The sequence below is a fragment of the Homo sapiens genome, chromosome 7, assembly GCF_000001405.40.
Source record: "Homo sapiens chromosome 7, GRCh38.p14 Primary Assembly".
Taxonomy (NCBI): domain Eukaryota; kingdom Metazoa; phylum Chordata; class Mammalia; order Primates; family Hominidae; genus Homo; species Homo sapiens.
The window spans coordinates 139,451,494-139,464,568 of record NC_000007.14 but is presented as its reverse complement, the minus strand read 5'-3'; the positions used below and the strand labels follow the sequence as shown (position 1 = coordinate 139,464,568).

Below are 13,075 nucleotides of genomic sequence, written 5' to 3'. Positions count from 1 at the left end.
GAGTGGGGAAAGGATTTAGGATTTATGGGGTCAGCTAGGTTTATCTAGAATAGAATAATGGGTTGTGGAGGGAGGTATTGAGGATAGGAGAGTATATGGGTTTGGCACCACGGGGTGGATAGGCAAAACAATTTGGTTGATAAGGCGCAGATCCTGAACTAACCTGTAATACTTGTCTGGTTTTAGGACAGGTAAAATGGGGGAATTGTAAGGAGAGTTTATAGGTTTTAAAAGGCCATGCTGTAACAGGCGAGTAATAACAGGCTTCTAAAGCGTGCTGTGTGATGGGATATTGGCGTTTAGCGGGGTATGGGTGATTAGGTTTTAATGGGATGGTAAGGGGTGCATGATCAATCGCCAAGGAGGGAGTAGAGGTGTCCTACCCTTGTGGATTAAGGTGGGGAGATACAAGGGGAGAATGCAAAGGAGGCTTTGAACTGGGGAAAAAGGCAGCAATGAGATGTGGCTGTAGCCCAGGAACAGTCAGGGAAGCAGATAATTTAGTTAAAATGTCTTGACCTAACAAGGGAGCTGGGCAGGTGGGGATAACTAGAAGGAGTATATAAAAGAATATTGTCCAAGCTAGCATCAGAGTTGGGGAGTTTTAAGAGGTCTAGAAGCCTGGCCGTCAACACCCACAACAGTTATGGAGGCATAACAAACAGGCCCTTGAAAAGAAGGTAATGTGGAGTGGGTAGCCTCAGTATTGATTAAGAAGGGGATGGACTTACCCTTCACTCTATAAGAGTTACCCAAAGCATCTGTGATGGTCCAGGAAGCTTCTGAGGCAATTGGGCAGCGTCGGTCGTCAGCCGCTAAGTCAAGAAGATCTGGGAAGGAGTCAGTCAGAGAGCCTTGGGCCGGAGTTCCAGGGACTCTGGGGTTGGCTGCTGGGTGACTTGGACAGTCTGATTTCCAGTGGGGTCCCATACACATGGGACACGGCTTAGGAGGAATCCTGGGCTGCGGGCATTCCTTGGCCCAGTGGCCAGATTTCTGGCACTTGAAGCAAGATCCTGGTGGAGGAAGTCCTGTAGGAACGCCTGGCCGCTGTGGCTTAGGTGTGCGCGGCTTAGGCATTTTGAAGTTCTTGTATGCTGGAGGTGCGGCTGGGTTTTGTCTCATGGCAGAGGCAAGTAATTGTAACTCAGAAATGCGTTGCTGTCTGGCTGCCTCTGCTCTATTATTGTACACCTTGAAGGCGAGGTTAATTAAGTCTTGTTGTGGGGTTTGAGGGCTGGAATCTAATTTTTGGAGCTTTATTTAATGTCAGGAGCGGACTGGGTAATAAAATGCGTATTAAGAATAAGATGGCCTTCTTTCTGACCTTTCAGGGTCTAGGGCTGTAAAGCGTCTCAGGTTGCTGCCAAACGAGCCAAGAACTGGGCTGGGTTTTTCTATTTGATGAAAAAGAGCCTAAACGCTAACTGATTTGGGAGAGGTCGGATAAAGAAAAACCTTGACCATGCCTTTGGCTCCAGCCACCTTTTAAGAAGAAATTGCTGGGCAGGTCGGGGAGGGCTAGTCGCAGAACGAAACTGTAAGCCGCGTCGGGTGTGAGGAGAGGAGGTGATAAAAGGATTATAGGGTAGGGGAGCGGAGGCTGAGGAAGAATTGGGACCTGGCTAGGCCTGGTGAGGAGCAACCTGGGGAGGAAAGGAGAGGTCAGATGGGTCTGTAGAAAAGGAAGATTGGAAAGACTCAGCAATGCTTGGGGTTGGGACTGAGGGGACAGGTGGGAGGGAAAGAAGCAAGATTTGGGACTAATTGCATTGGGAACAGAGACTAGGGAGGGACTGATGTGTAAAAGAATGCCTGGACGTCAGGCACCTCAGACCATTTGCCCATTTCATGACAAGAATTACCTAGACCTTGTAGGATGGAGAAATCGAAAGTGCCGTTTTCTGGCTATTTGGAACCATTGTCAAGTTTGCATTGGGGTCAAGCAGCATTGCAGAAGAAAATAAGGCATTTAGGTTTTAGGTCAGGTGTGAGTTGAAGAGGTTTTGAGTTCTTGAGAACACAGGCTAAAGGAGAAGAAGGAGGAATGGAGGGTGGAAGTTTGCCTATAGTGAAGGAGGCAAGTCCAGAGAAAAGAGAGGGTAGAGACACGGAGAGAAGGTGGGGGGATGCTTGCCCCCCAGGACAGTGGAAAAGGGGTAGACACACAGAGAGAAGGGATGGGGGGTGCTTGCCCCCCAGGACAGTGGAAAAGGGGTAGAGACACGGAGAGAAGGGGTGAGGGGTGCTTGCCCCCAAGAAAAGCAGTGCTTGCTGCTAAGGGTGAAGGACCAAGGCAGGCGTCCCTGTGTGATCAGACACCTCTGAAACGTGGGTGAGTAATCAAGCAGGCATCCCTGCGTGATTAAACACCAAGGGAAGACTGTTTTCCCGAGTCCGTAACTAGCGATGGAGTTTTGGGTTCACGGATAAAACGCGTCTCCTGTCTCTACCAGAAAAGGAAAGGCACTGAAATTAAGAGAAGGGAGAGACTGAAAGATGGCACCAAGATTCAAAGGAGAAAGAGGTTGAGGGATAGTGAGAGAGGTTGGAGAAAAGCGTAAAAAGAGGCCGCTTATCCAATTTAAAATTGGTGAGATGTTCCTTGGGCTGGTTGGTCTGAGGACCAGAGGTCGTAGGTGCAAAGAGCAGGAGGACAGGGGATTGATCTCCCAAGGATCCCTGATCCGAGTCATGGCACCAAATGTCACACGCATCCGTGTGAAGAGACCACCAAACAGGCTTTGTGTGAGCAATGAGGCTGTTTATTTAACCTGGGTGCAGGCGGGCTGAGTCCGAAAAGAGTCAGCGAAGGGAGATAAGGGTGGGGCAGCTTTATAAGATTTGGGTGGGTAGTGGATAATTACAGTCAAAGGGTGTTGTTCGCTGGCGGGCAGGGGCGGGGGTCATAAGGTGCTCAGTGGGGGAGCTTTTGAGCCAGGATGAGCCAGGAGAAGGAATTTCACAAGGTAATGTCATCAGTTAAGGCAGGAACAGGGCATTTTCAGTTCTTTTGTGATTCTTCAGTTACTTCAGGCCATCTGGATGTATACGTGCAGGTCACAGGGGATATGATGGCTTAGCTTGGGCTCAGAGGCCTGGCAATCCTAAAGTCCAAACAGCCCTGTGATGTGAAGATAACGATTCGTTTTTCTCTTTCATCGATAAGGAATCTTGTGGCAAAGAAAAGCTCAGTAACTTGCCCTTGATCAGAGTGTCAGAGAAGATATTTGCACCAAAGGCCTGGCTCAGAAGCCCCACCCCAACACTGCTGCTATGGTTTAGGTGTGTCCCCCACATTTCTCTCTCTCTCTTTTTTTTTTAGATGGAGTCTGGCTCTGTCACCCAGGCTGGAGTGCAGTGGTGCGATCTCAGCTCACTGCAGCCTACCTCCCAAGTTCAAGCAATTCTCCTGCCTTAACCTCCTGAGTAGCGGGGATTACAGGTCCCATCACCATGCCTGGATAATTTTTGTGTTTTTTAGTAGAGACAAAATACAGGCTGGTCTTGAACTCCTGACCTCAGTTGATCCACCTTCCTTGGCCTCCCAAAGTGCTGGGATTAAAGGCGTGAGCCCCCTCGCCCAACCTCCTCTTTTTTTCAATTGACACAGAGTCTCGCTCTGTCACCCAGGCTCGAGTGCAGTGGCAGGTCGCCACTTAGTTCACTGCAACCTCTGCCTCCCGGGTTCAAGCGATTCTGGTGCCTCAGCCTCCCAAGTAGCTAGAATTACAGGCTCCTGCCACCACATGCAGCTAATTTTTGTATTTTTAGTAGAGGTGGAGTTTCACCATGTTAGCCAGGCCGGTCTCAAACTCGTGACATCAAGTGATCTGCCTGCCTTGGCCTCCCAAAGTGCTGAGATTACAGGTGTGACCCACTGTGCCCAGCTGTCTTTTTTTTTTTTAGACAGGGTCTTGCTCTGTTCCCCAGGCTGGAGTGCAGTGTTGTGATCATGGCTTGCTGCAGCCTCCACCTCCCAGGCTCAAGCAATCCTCCCATCTCAGCCTCCTGAGTAGCTGGAACCACGCCTGGCTAATTTTTTTGACTTTTAGTACAGACAGGGTCTCACTCTGTTGCCCAGGCTGGTCTCAAACTCCTAGCCTCAAGCAACCTTCCCATCTTGGCCTCCCAAAGGGCTGGGATTACAGGCATGAGCCGCTGCACCTGACCCAGCCTCCAAAACTGTAAGAAGTAATTGATTTTCCTTATAAATTACCCTTTCTGTGGTAATCTGTGACAGCAACAGAAAACAAACTAAACAGACCAGGACGATGACATTGGAGCCACCAACAACGTCGGGGCCAGGTCCCCTCGCAACCCCCATGGCAGGCTCAGGAAACAGTCCTGGTATCTTCCCATTTTTCCCATGTAAAAATCTGCTGGAGGGCCCAGTGGCTCATGCCTGTAATCCCAACACTTTGGGGGGCCAAGGCGGGCAGATCATCTGAGGTCAGGAGTTTGAGACCGGCCTGGCCAACATGGTGAAACCCACCCTCTACTAAAAATATACAAATATGGCCAGGCGCGGGGGCTCACACCTGTAATCCCAGCACTTTGGGAAGCCGAGGCGGGCGGATCATGAGGTCAAGAGATCAAGACCATCCTCGCCAACATGGTGAAACCCTGTCTCTACTAAAAATACAAAAAATTAGCCAGTGTGGTGGCGGGTGCCTGTAGTTCCAGCTACTTGGGAGGCTGAGGCAGGAGAATCGCTTGAACCTGGGAGGCGGAGGTTGCAGTGAGCTGAGATTGCACCACTGCACTCCAGCCTGGGCAAGAAGAGTAAAACTCCGTCTCAAAAAAAAAAAATCTGGAGGTGATGTTTTTCAGTGAGCACAGATTACTGTGTAACCAGGAATAACATTTATTTTCTAAATGTTCCACAAATAATATATGCTGTGAATGGGGGAATATGCCAGGGCACCAGTAGCCTGTGAGGGCAAGAGGAGCTCAGTAGGGATCAGTTTCTGCTCAGCGCCTGGGCTGGGCCCTGAGGTGTTGGCGTTGAGATGGGAATGGGCTGTGCAAAGAAAGCACCCCAGGCTCCTGTACCAAACGACTCAGACTGGTTGTATCTGCAAATTGAAGGCCTGTAGGAATGTAGGTGGGACCAAAGGTGGTCTCTAGAGTGCCTAGAGTTAGGGCCAGGAGCCAAGCAGGGCGGGGATCATATTGTTGCAGGGACATAGTTCATCCCATTACTTACTTATGGAATCCCATCGCTTAAGACTGATGAACATAGCATTTTGTCCTGAGACAGACAGATTGAGCACAGCAAATGCCAACAGGAAGCCAGTAAAACGGGCCTCACATCAGACAGGTTCACCTCAGATGAGCTTAGAACTCCTTGTTGCCAATGGGGGGAGGTGGGTTTAACTATCCAAATTGGAAACAGAACCTGAGATAAAGAATTTAACAAAAAAATGCATACAGCATCAATCATTTGAAACATAAGTAAATCTGCAGAAAACATATCATAGTCTGGGTAAACCCCTTCCCTGCAAAAAGACCAACGCTAAGATTCAAGATCTAGGCAGTTAAAATCTGGAATATAATGATTGTGGAACTCTGGAATTTTCCTGAGTTCTGGACAAGGACCGGAAGCTCCTGCAGGTGCTGAGGCAGGGTGGGGAGGACAGGACACACACGCAGAAGCAGCGCGCACAAACCCCAGGAACGCACCAGGGCCAGGGTGCCCAGAGGTACAGGATAGACGTGGCTCATCTTCCCAGAAGCCTGTTTTGCTCAGGATTAGTGAAAAGTAGGAAGTTGTAAGTGCTCACCATTAGTTTAATAACAACTTTGCTTTGCAGAGTGGAGGAGGGAGGAAGCTACCTTAACAGCACACACTGAACTCGAGCCCGATGCTAATTTCAAAAAGATTAAACCATTGAATACATTTACATCCTAGGATTAAGAAAAGTAATTTGAAACATTTTAATATTAAAACAGACATGGATGAAGATAGAGAGTAGAATGGCTGTTGCCAGTGCAGCGGGGGATGGGGAGTTGTTTAATGAGGACAGCTTCAGTTTGGGGAGGTGAAAAAGTTCAGGAGATGGATGGTGATGATGGTTTTACAACAATGTGGATATACTTCATGCCCTTGAACTGTACACTTATCATGGTTAAAATGGTAAATTTTATGTCATTAAACTTTTTCTTTCTTTCTTTCTTTTTTTTTTTGAGACAGGATCTCTTGCTCTCTCACCCAGGCTGGAGTGCAGTGGTGCAATCATGGCTCAGTGCAGCCTCGACCTCCCGGGGTCAAGCCATCCTTCGGCCTCAGCCTCCTGAGTAGCTGGGAGTACAGGAGCGTGCCACCACACCTGGTTAATATTTGTATTTTTTGTAGAGACAGGGTCTCACTATGTTACCCAGGCTGGTCTCAAACTCCTGAGCTTGAGTGATCTGCCCTCCTCAGCCTCCCACAGTTCTAAGACCACAGCTGTGAGCAGCCATGCCTGGCCGTGAATCTTTTATCACAATTTTTAAAAAAGAAATGTATGAAGGCATAGGAAACAATTTTCTATAATTTTAAGACGTAAAATATGAGATTTTCAGTCCATTCTGCTCAGGATCACATTCCCTCTCCCCATATTAGTGGAAAAGTTGGAGAATCCACAGTTAAGGAGGCCTCAGGATCTTTTGCACAGAGCAGTCCTTTTAGCCATAAATTACTTAGTAGTTCCCAGAGTTTATTTATAACTCTGAACAATGCCTTCCCTACACCACCATTTTTGCTAACAATGAGATCAGGAGTCTCAAACGCAAGGAAAAGAAGAATGGAATGGAGTGGGTGGGTCTAGGCGGGGCTGGGGCTCGGGGGAGGCCTTCAGCTCCCGTCACCAGGAGGCCCAGAGGGGAAGGGTGAGAGAGGCAGATAGCTTGGGGCTCTGACAGAAGGACAGGGTCCTCTTGAGGTTGCTGTAAGCATCAAAGGGGCTCATGTGTGTAGGAGGCAGGTCACAGGCTTTGCCCATCACATGTCAGACGCGAGAGGACATGGGATGAGTGTGTACTAGGTGGCCGTGGCTTTATATGTTAGTATCTCAAGCCTCATCACAAGCATCTTCGTTTTACAGACGACCACACAGCGGCTCTGAAAGGTTGGGTAACTTGTCTAAGGTCATGTGGCTCACAAGTCATGGAGCCAGAATTTGCATATGGGGTAGCCTGGCTCCATCTCAGCCCCGGAAGAGGCACTGAGCCCTGGTGTGCCTTCCCAAACAGGCAGCTGAGTGCTCCCAGGAAGACGGTGTTGGGCCGCTCAGCCCTCTGACTCACACCTCAGAGCAGCCTGGGGCCCTCCCATCCTCTCCAAGTTTCCCTGCCCAGCCCCACCCTGGGCCCCAGTGTGTCCCCGAAGCACCAGCCAAGGAACAGCTGCCCAGTGTACATTCTCTGTTCCGTCCACTCACCACTCTCCATTTTCCTATGCACTCTGGTCTTTAGGATTCAAGAAGGGTAAGATTAGCAACCTTCAGCCTGGGAAGTTGCCCCTGACTTCTCTCTGGGCTGTTAACTGACTGGTGCTAACCTTGAGGGGCAGAAGATGGGTTTTCCGTGACACTTCTGGGATACACAGTGGCCTGATGGCCTGGTCTCACTGTGGCTCTGCTGATTTTTGGCAGTGAGCGCGGGGAGGCAGTTTCACTGAGTTGACCTACTGTGTACTGGGTTATCATAGTGCGATGCTGAGTAAGACAAGCTCCTGGCCCGCACCAGGTTCACCAACTAATACAGGAAAGTGACAAGGAGGCAAGCCATTAGAAGGCAGCACATGAGTGGTGGCACGCACCAGCAGTCCCAGCTACTTCGGAGGCTGAGGTGGGAGCATCGCTTGAGCCCAGAGGTTCAAGGCCAGCCTGGACAACGTAGTGAGATCCTGTCTCTTAAAAAATAAAAAAGAGAGGCTGGGTGCAGTGGCTTATACCTGTAATCCTAGCACTTTGGGAGGCCGAGGTGGGTGAATCATCTGAGGTCAGGAGTTCAAGACCAGCCTGGCCAACATGGTGAAACCCCATCTCTACTAAATTGGGCGTCATGGCAGGTGCCTGTAATCCCAGCTACTTGGGAGGCTGAGACAGGAGAATTCCTTGAACACGGGAGACGGTGGTTGCAGTAAGCCGAGATTGTGCCACTGCACTCCAGCCTAGGTGGCTGAGCAAGACTCCGTCTCAAAAATAAAAATTAAAAAAATAAAAATAAAAAAGAGACAGCTCTATTCTGTGAAAGTTGTGGAAACCAAGGGGAGGGAGGAGCACCTATTTCACCTTGGAGAGGGTCAGCCCAGTGTCCGTTAAAAAAGCCACCTTTAAATCAGTTCTGAAGGATGGAGGAGGTGGCAGCAACAGGACAATCATCACTCTAATTCCCAGGGCTTGTCTTTGTTGACTTAAACCATTTTCTTAGGGAAGAAGAACTGAGCATATGCGAAATTCATTTATACCGCTCTGCTCCTAACCTGCCTCAGTGTGAATATGTGCTTCTTGACATTGTTGTGAGTGATATGTACTTGCTAGTGTAGTCTTTTTTTTTTTACATGGCATGATTTCATATTTACATTTTCCTGCATAATGACATTTTCTATACACTTGTCATTTTTAATAGCACTATAATTTTCCATCATGTTGACATCCTATAATTTACCTTGTTATTTCTTGATTGCTGAGCGTTTGGGGAGTTTCCAGTTTTTCTTCACAAATAGCACCGTGTTATCTTTAGATAAGTTCATTTTTTTCCCTTTATATTCTTGGATTTATTTCTCAGTGAAATCACCCATTTGAGCAGGAGTGGTGGTGCTGCTCTTGTCACATAGCACCAAACGACATTTCAGAAAGAACAAGCTGATGCGGGCCGTGCCGGCATCACTGCCCCCTCCACCACGTCCCCACCCTGGGACTTAAAAGATTTAAACTTTTTTTTCCAAGTTAAAAAATCTTGGCCGGGCGCGGTGGCTCACGCCTGTAATCCCAGCACTTTGAGAGGCCGAGGCAGGCGGATCACGAGGTCAGGAGATCGAGACCATCTTGGCTAACACGGTGAAACCCCATCTCTACTAAAAATACAAAAAATTAGCCAGGCATGGTGGCGGGTGCCTGTAGTCCCAGCTACTCGGGAGGCTGAGGCAGGAGAATGGCGTGAACCCAGGAGACAGAGCTTGCAGTGAGCCGAGATCGCGCCACTGCACTCCAGCCTGGGCAACAGAGCGAGACTCTGTCTCAAAAAAAAAAAAAAAAAATCTTGGCCGGGTACAGTGGCTCACACCACTAATTCTACACTTTGGGAGGCTAAAATGGACAGATCACTTGAGGCCAGGAGCTCAAGACCAGCCTAGGCCAACACGGCAAAACCCTTCCCTACTAAAAATACGAAAATTACCTGGGTGTGGTGGTGCATGCCTGTAGTTCCAGCCTCTCAGGAGGCTGAGGCGGGAGAATCGGTTGAACCTGAGAGGCGGAGGCTGCAGTGAGCCAGGATCGTGCCACTGCACTCCAGCCTGGGTGACAGAGCAAGGCTCCATCTCAAAAAAAAAAAAATCTTAAATATATACTTTAAAACATTGTCTTTTTTGCTTTAATTCATTGTTAAAAATAGTGTGACATTGAGGGCAAATATTTAAAAGAAAAAAGTCTCCTCTAGTACCTCTCCAGCACACTTACTTTGGTTTTTGTTGTTCCTGCACATCTGCGTGTGTTATTATTATTATTATTATTATTATTATTATTATTATTATTATTATTTTGAGATAGAATTTCCCTCTTGTCAGCCCAGGCTGGAATGCAGTGGCGCAATCTCGGCTTACTGCAACCTCTGTCTCCTGGGCTCAAGCGATTCTCCTGTTTCAGCCTCCCAAGTAGCTGGGATTACAGGCGCCCGCCACCATGCCCAGCTAATTTTTTTTTTTTTAATAGAAACGGGGTTTCACTATGTTGGACAGGCCGGTCTCGAACTCCTGGCCTCAGGTAATCTGCCAGCCTCGGCCTCCCAATGTGCTGGGATTACAGGCATGAGCCACCGTGCCTGACCACCTCCCTCGCTTTCTGAGCTTCCTTGTTTCTTTGCCCACTCAATGCCCACTGAGCATCACTTAGTGGTGTTTGGCGTTCACATCCCTTTGGCTGAGACGGGGTCACCCTCATTTTGGCCCCCAGCCCTGAGCACAGAACCTGGCACCCAGCAGGCATCCAATCCAGCTTTCAAGGTTTTTTTGTTCTGCAAGTGCTGGCTTGAGCAGATCCTTCTGGATTGGCCAGCTGGGATCCTGTGGAAGCCCCAGGGAATCCGTACGCCCCAGGCAAGCCACGCCAGTGTCCAGGGGAGTGACCAGCTTACTTTTCTCCCTCAGGACTTCCTGGGCAGATACCCAGTCTCCAGGCACTCCTGGGTGGGGGCCTGGCGAGGCCCCCAGGGCTGGCACTGGATCGACGAGGCCCCACTCCCGCCCCAGCTGTGAGTGACCACGGGCTTTTCTCCCTCCTCTGCTGTTCTGGATCCTCCATTTCTCCCCAGACTCCACCTCCTTGCTGCTCCCCTAGCCTGGAATGCCACTTGGAAAGCAGCCCACGCCCATGCTCGCGGCCTGGTGCCTGATTAGACCCTGTCGCTTCACTCTTTATTTGGGTTCCCAGCACGTTCACCCAAGCAGGGTTGTCACCCCCATTTTACAGATGCGGGGTCAGCTGCCCAGGGAGGTTTGGGGATTCATCCAGTGCCACGTGGCTGACCAGTGCAGTGACTCACTCAGTGCCCAGGCCGGTAGAGGTGACAGGCACACACGCTGGAGGGTCTGGCTGGGAAGCAAGGCCCCGGCACCCTAAACACCTCTCCTCTTTCCCCTCCCATCCTTTCCCAGACTCCCTGAGGACGGCGAGGACAATCTGGATATCAACTGTGGGGCCCTGGAGGAAGGCACGCTGGTGGCTGCAAACTGCAGCACTCCAAGACCCTGGGTCTGTGCCAAGGGGACCCAGTGATCTGGGCTCTGCCTGGTCCTCAGCCTGCCAGGCAGATGCAGCACCCCCTACAGGGGAGGCCAGTTGAGAGCTTGGGCAGCCTCTTCCTGGACCCAGTTATCCAGGTCTTCATGCTCTGCTCAAGGGGGCCACATGAGCGAGCCTAGGAGCTGGACTTCAACCCAGGAAGATGCATCCGAGGGAAAGGAGATTTTCTATGGCCTCAGGCCTGAGTGCCAATATTAGTCTCCAGCTTCTGTGGATGATCGGTTTGATGACATTGGGATGGTTGTTTAGCATTTCTGTGCCTTGGTTTCATTAAAATGACAATTTCCCCCTAGAGGAAAAAGACAGGGTTAACAACCACAGCGGATTCCAATCTGGGTTCTCATTCCGGCTCATGGAAATGAGTCTGCCGTTGTTCAGTGGCAGTGGGACTTGGCAGGGATAACGTCATTGCTGTGAATTCTACTTCAGGCAGCTGGGTGTACATCGGACACAGCCTACCGGCAGCCTCTGGAAAATTAACCAAGGAAAAGGAGCGGTCAGCCCTGGAAAGAGGGGAGAGCAAGGTTTTCCTTCCCCACCCTGAGAGTTGGCAAAGGGTTGGCAGACAGGAAGGTTCTGGGTGGAGATCCCGCATGTGGGCTGGCCAGCCCCTGGCACGCTGATGCCCAAGGGTGAGACAAGGCAGAGAGGACAGGGCCACCTGGCAGGAGAAGCCAGGAGAGCACCCCAGCTTGGTAGGTGGAAGCTGAGGAGTCTGAGTGAAAAAGGAAATCAGAGAAATGCAGGCACGTTCCAGGCAGCTCTTCTACCCACAGCTGCAGAGACGACCAACCTGAAGATGTCTCCATGCTGGGGTGCAGTGAAGACCTTCAGGCTGGAGGATGTGGCTGACAGAGTTGTGTAGTTCCTTGAGTCCAGCTAGACCTCCAAACAGCAGGAGCCTGGGCCTGCGTGTTGGCTTGGTGCTGAGCACGCACTCAACTGGCCCTTGCAAGCCAGCCTTCCCTCAAAAGTCAGACCATGCACCCAGATCCCTCCCAAACAGAAATCCTTATTGGTGCGTTTGAACCAGTAATGGGCCGTCTGGGAGAATGGGATGGAGAGTCCTAGATGGGAGAAATTTCTCACACTGTATTTTTCATTAGTATTATTATACTTTAAGTTCTGGGGTACATGTGCAGAACGTGCAGGTTTGTTACATAGGTATACACATGCCATGGTGGTTTGCTGCACCCATCAACTTGTCATCTACATTAGAAATTTCTCCTAATGCTATCCCTGCCTTCTCACACTCCTGAAAGTAATAACAAAAAGGGAAATGGAGGCCGGGCACGGTGGCTCATGCCTGTAATCCCAGCATTTTGGGAGGCCGAGGTGGGCGAATCACAAGGTCAGGAGTTCGAGACCAGCCTGCCAGCCTGGCCAACATGGTGAAACCCTGTCTCTACTAAAAACACAAAAAAATAGCTGGGCGTGGTGGTGGGTGCCTGTAATTCTAGCTACTCGGGAGGCTGGGGCAGGAGAATTGCTTGAACCCAGGAGGCGGAGGTTGCAGTGAGCCGAGATTGTGCCACTGCACTGCAGCCCGGGTGACAGTGCAAGACTCTGTCTCAAAAAAAAAAAAAAAAAAAAGGACATGGAAATTCCCTGGCTGGATGTGAAATGGGTGGCTCACGTGGGGCAGGCGCCAATCAAAATACATCCTATGTGGGCAGGAAGCTGTGTATGTTACCGCCCCCATCCCCTGCCATGTGTTCCCAGGATCTGTGCCTGGAGAAATGACACATCTGTAGGTTATGAGTATACAGAACCTTATCTAGCCTTCTCAGTACCTTTTAGAGAAGGGAAGTGTTGTACTCAGTGTTACCCAGCTAGAAAGTGGAAGGTCTAGAATGAAACCCACTTGCTATCTGACTCCAAAGGCCGCATTCTTTCCATCCCAGCACGCAGTAGAGGAATCTAGAAAGGTATTAGTGGCAGCGGAGTGGGAAGCCATCAGGTGGAGTGAGGGAGAAAGGAGGTACCAAGTTGTTTCACACTTGTGATAATCCACTCCCTCGGTTATCTGTTGCTTTATAACAAAAAAAAAAATTTTTTTTTGAGGC

The 13,075-nt window shown here is 49.9% G+C and overlaps 1 protein-coding gene across 3 annotated transcripts in view, besides 4 other annotated features; it reads left to right on the top strand.

The window, feature by feature from the left end:
• KLRG2 (killer cell lectin like receptor G2) overlaps nucleotides 1-13,075 on the top strand; it is a 56,576-nt gene that overhangs the window by 19,105 nt on the left and 24,396 nt on the right. Inside the window, exons 4-5 of one of the 3 annotated variants that reach the window (NM_198508.4) lie at nucleotides 10,355-10,458; nucleotides 10,862-11,879. The exons of 1 other annotated variant lie outside the window; for it this stretch is intronic. In NM_198508.4, the coding sequence (NP_940910.1) occupies nucleotides 10,355-10,458; nucleotides 10,862-10,982 (225 nt within the window). In that variant the 3' untranslated portion in view covers nucleotides 10,983-11,879. Of the gene's footprint in view, nucleotides 1-10,354; nucleotides 10,459-10,861; nucleotides 11,880-13,075 lie in introns of those variants that run through there. One more of the 3 variants, XM_005250311.4, reaches the window with a different exon arrangement.
• Nucleotides 1,882-2,651: an enhancer, noted in NCBI's record as "H3K27ac hESC enhancer chr7:139146664-139147433 (GRCh37/hg19 assembly coordinates)". NCBI's record gives its function as "activates a minimal SCP1, AML or CMV promoter by ChIP-STARR-seq in naive H9 embryonic stem cells {active_cell/tissue: H9 hESC(naive)}" and the evidence as "EXISTENCE:reporter gene assay evidence [ECO:0000049][PMID:30033119]".
• Nucleotides 9,513-10,399: an enhancer, noted in NCBI's record as "H3K27ac-H3K4me1 hESC enhancer chr7:139138916-139139802 (GRCh37/hg19 assembly coordinates)". NCBI's record gives its function as "activates a minimal SCP1, AML or CMV promoter by ChIP-STARR-seq in primed H9 embryonic stem cells {active_cell/tissue: H9 hESC(primed)}" and the evidence as "EXISTENCE:reporter gene assay evidence [ECO:0000049][PMID:30033119]".
• Nucleotides 11,288-12,174: an enhancer, noted in NCBI's record as "H3K27ac-H3K4me1 hESC enhancer chr7:139137141-139138027 (GRCh37/hg19 assembly coordinates)". NCBI's record gives its function as "activates a minimal SCP1, AML or CMV promoter by ChIP-STARR-seq in primed H9 embryonic stem cells {active_cell/tissue: H9 hESC(primed)}" and the evidence as "EXISTENCE:reporter gene assay evidence [ECO:0000049][PMID:30033119]".
• Nucleotides 12,175-13,063: an enhancer, noted in NCBI's record as "H3K4me1 hESC enhancer chr7:139136252-139137140 (GRCh37/hg19 assembly coordinates)". NCBI's record gives its function as "activates a minimal SCP1, AML or CMV promoter by ChIP-STARR-seq in primed H9 embryonic stem cells {active_cell/tissue: H9 hESC(primed)}" and the evidence as "EXISTENCE:reporter gene assay evidence [ECO:0000049][PMID:30033119]".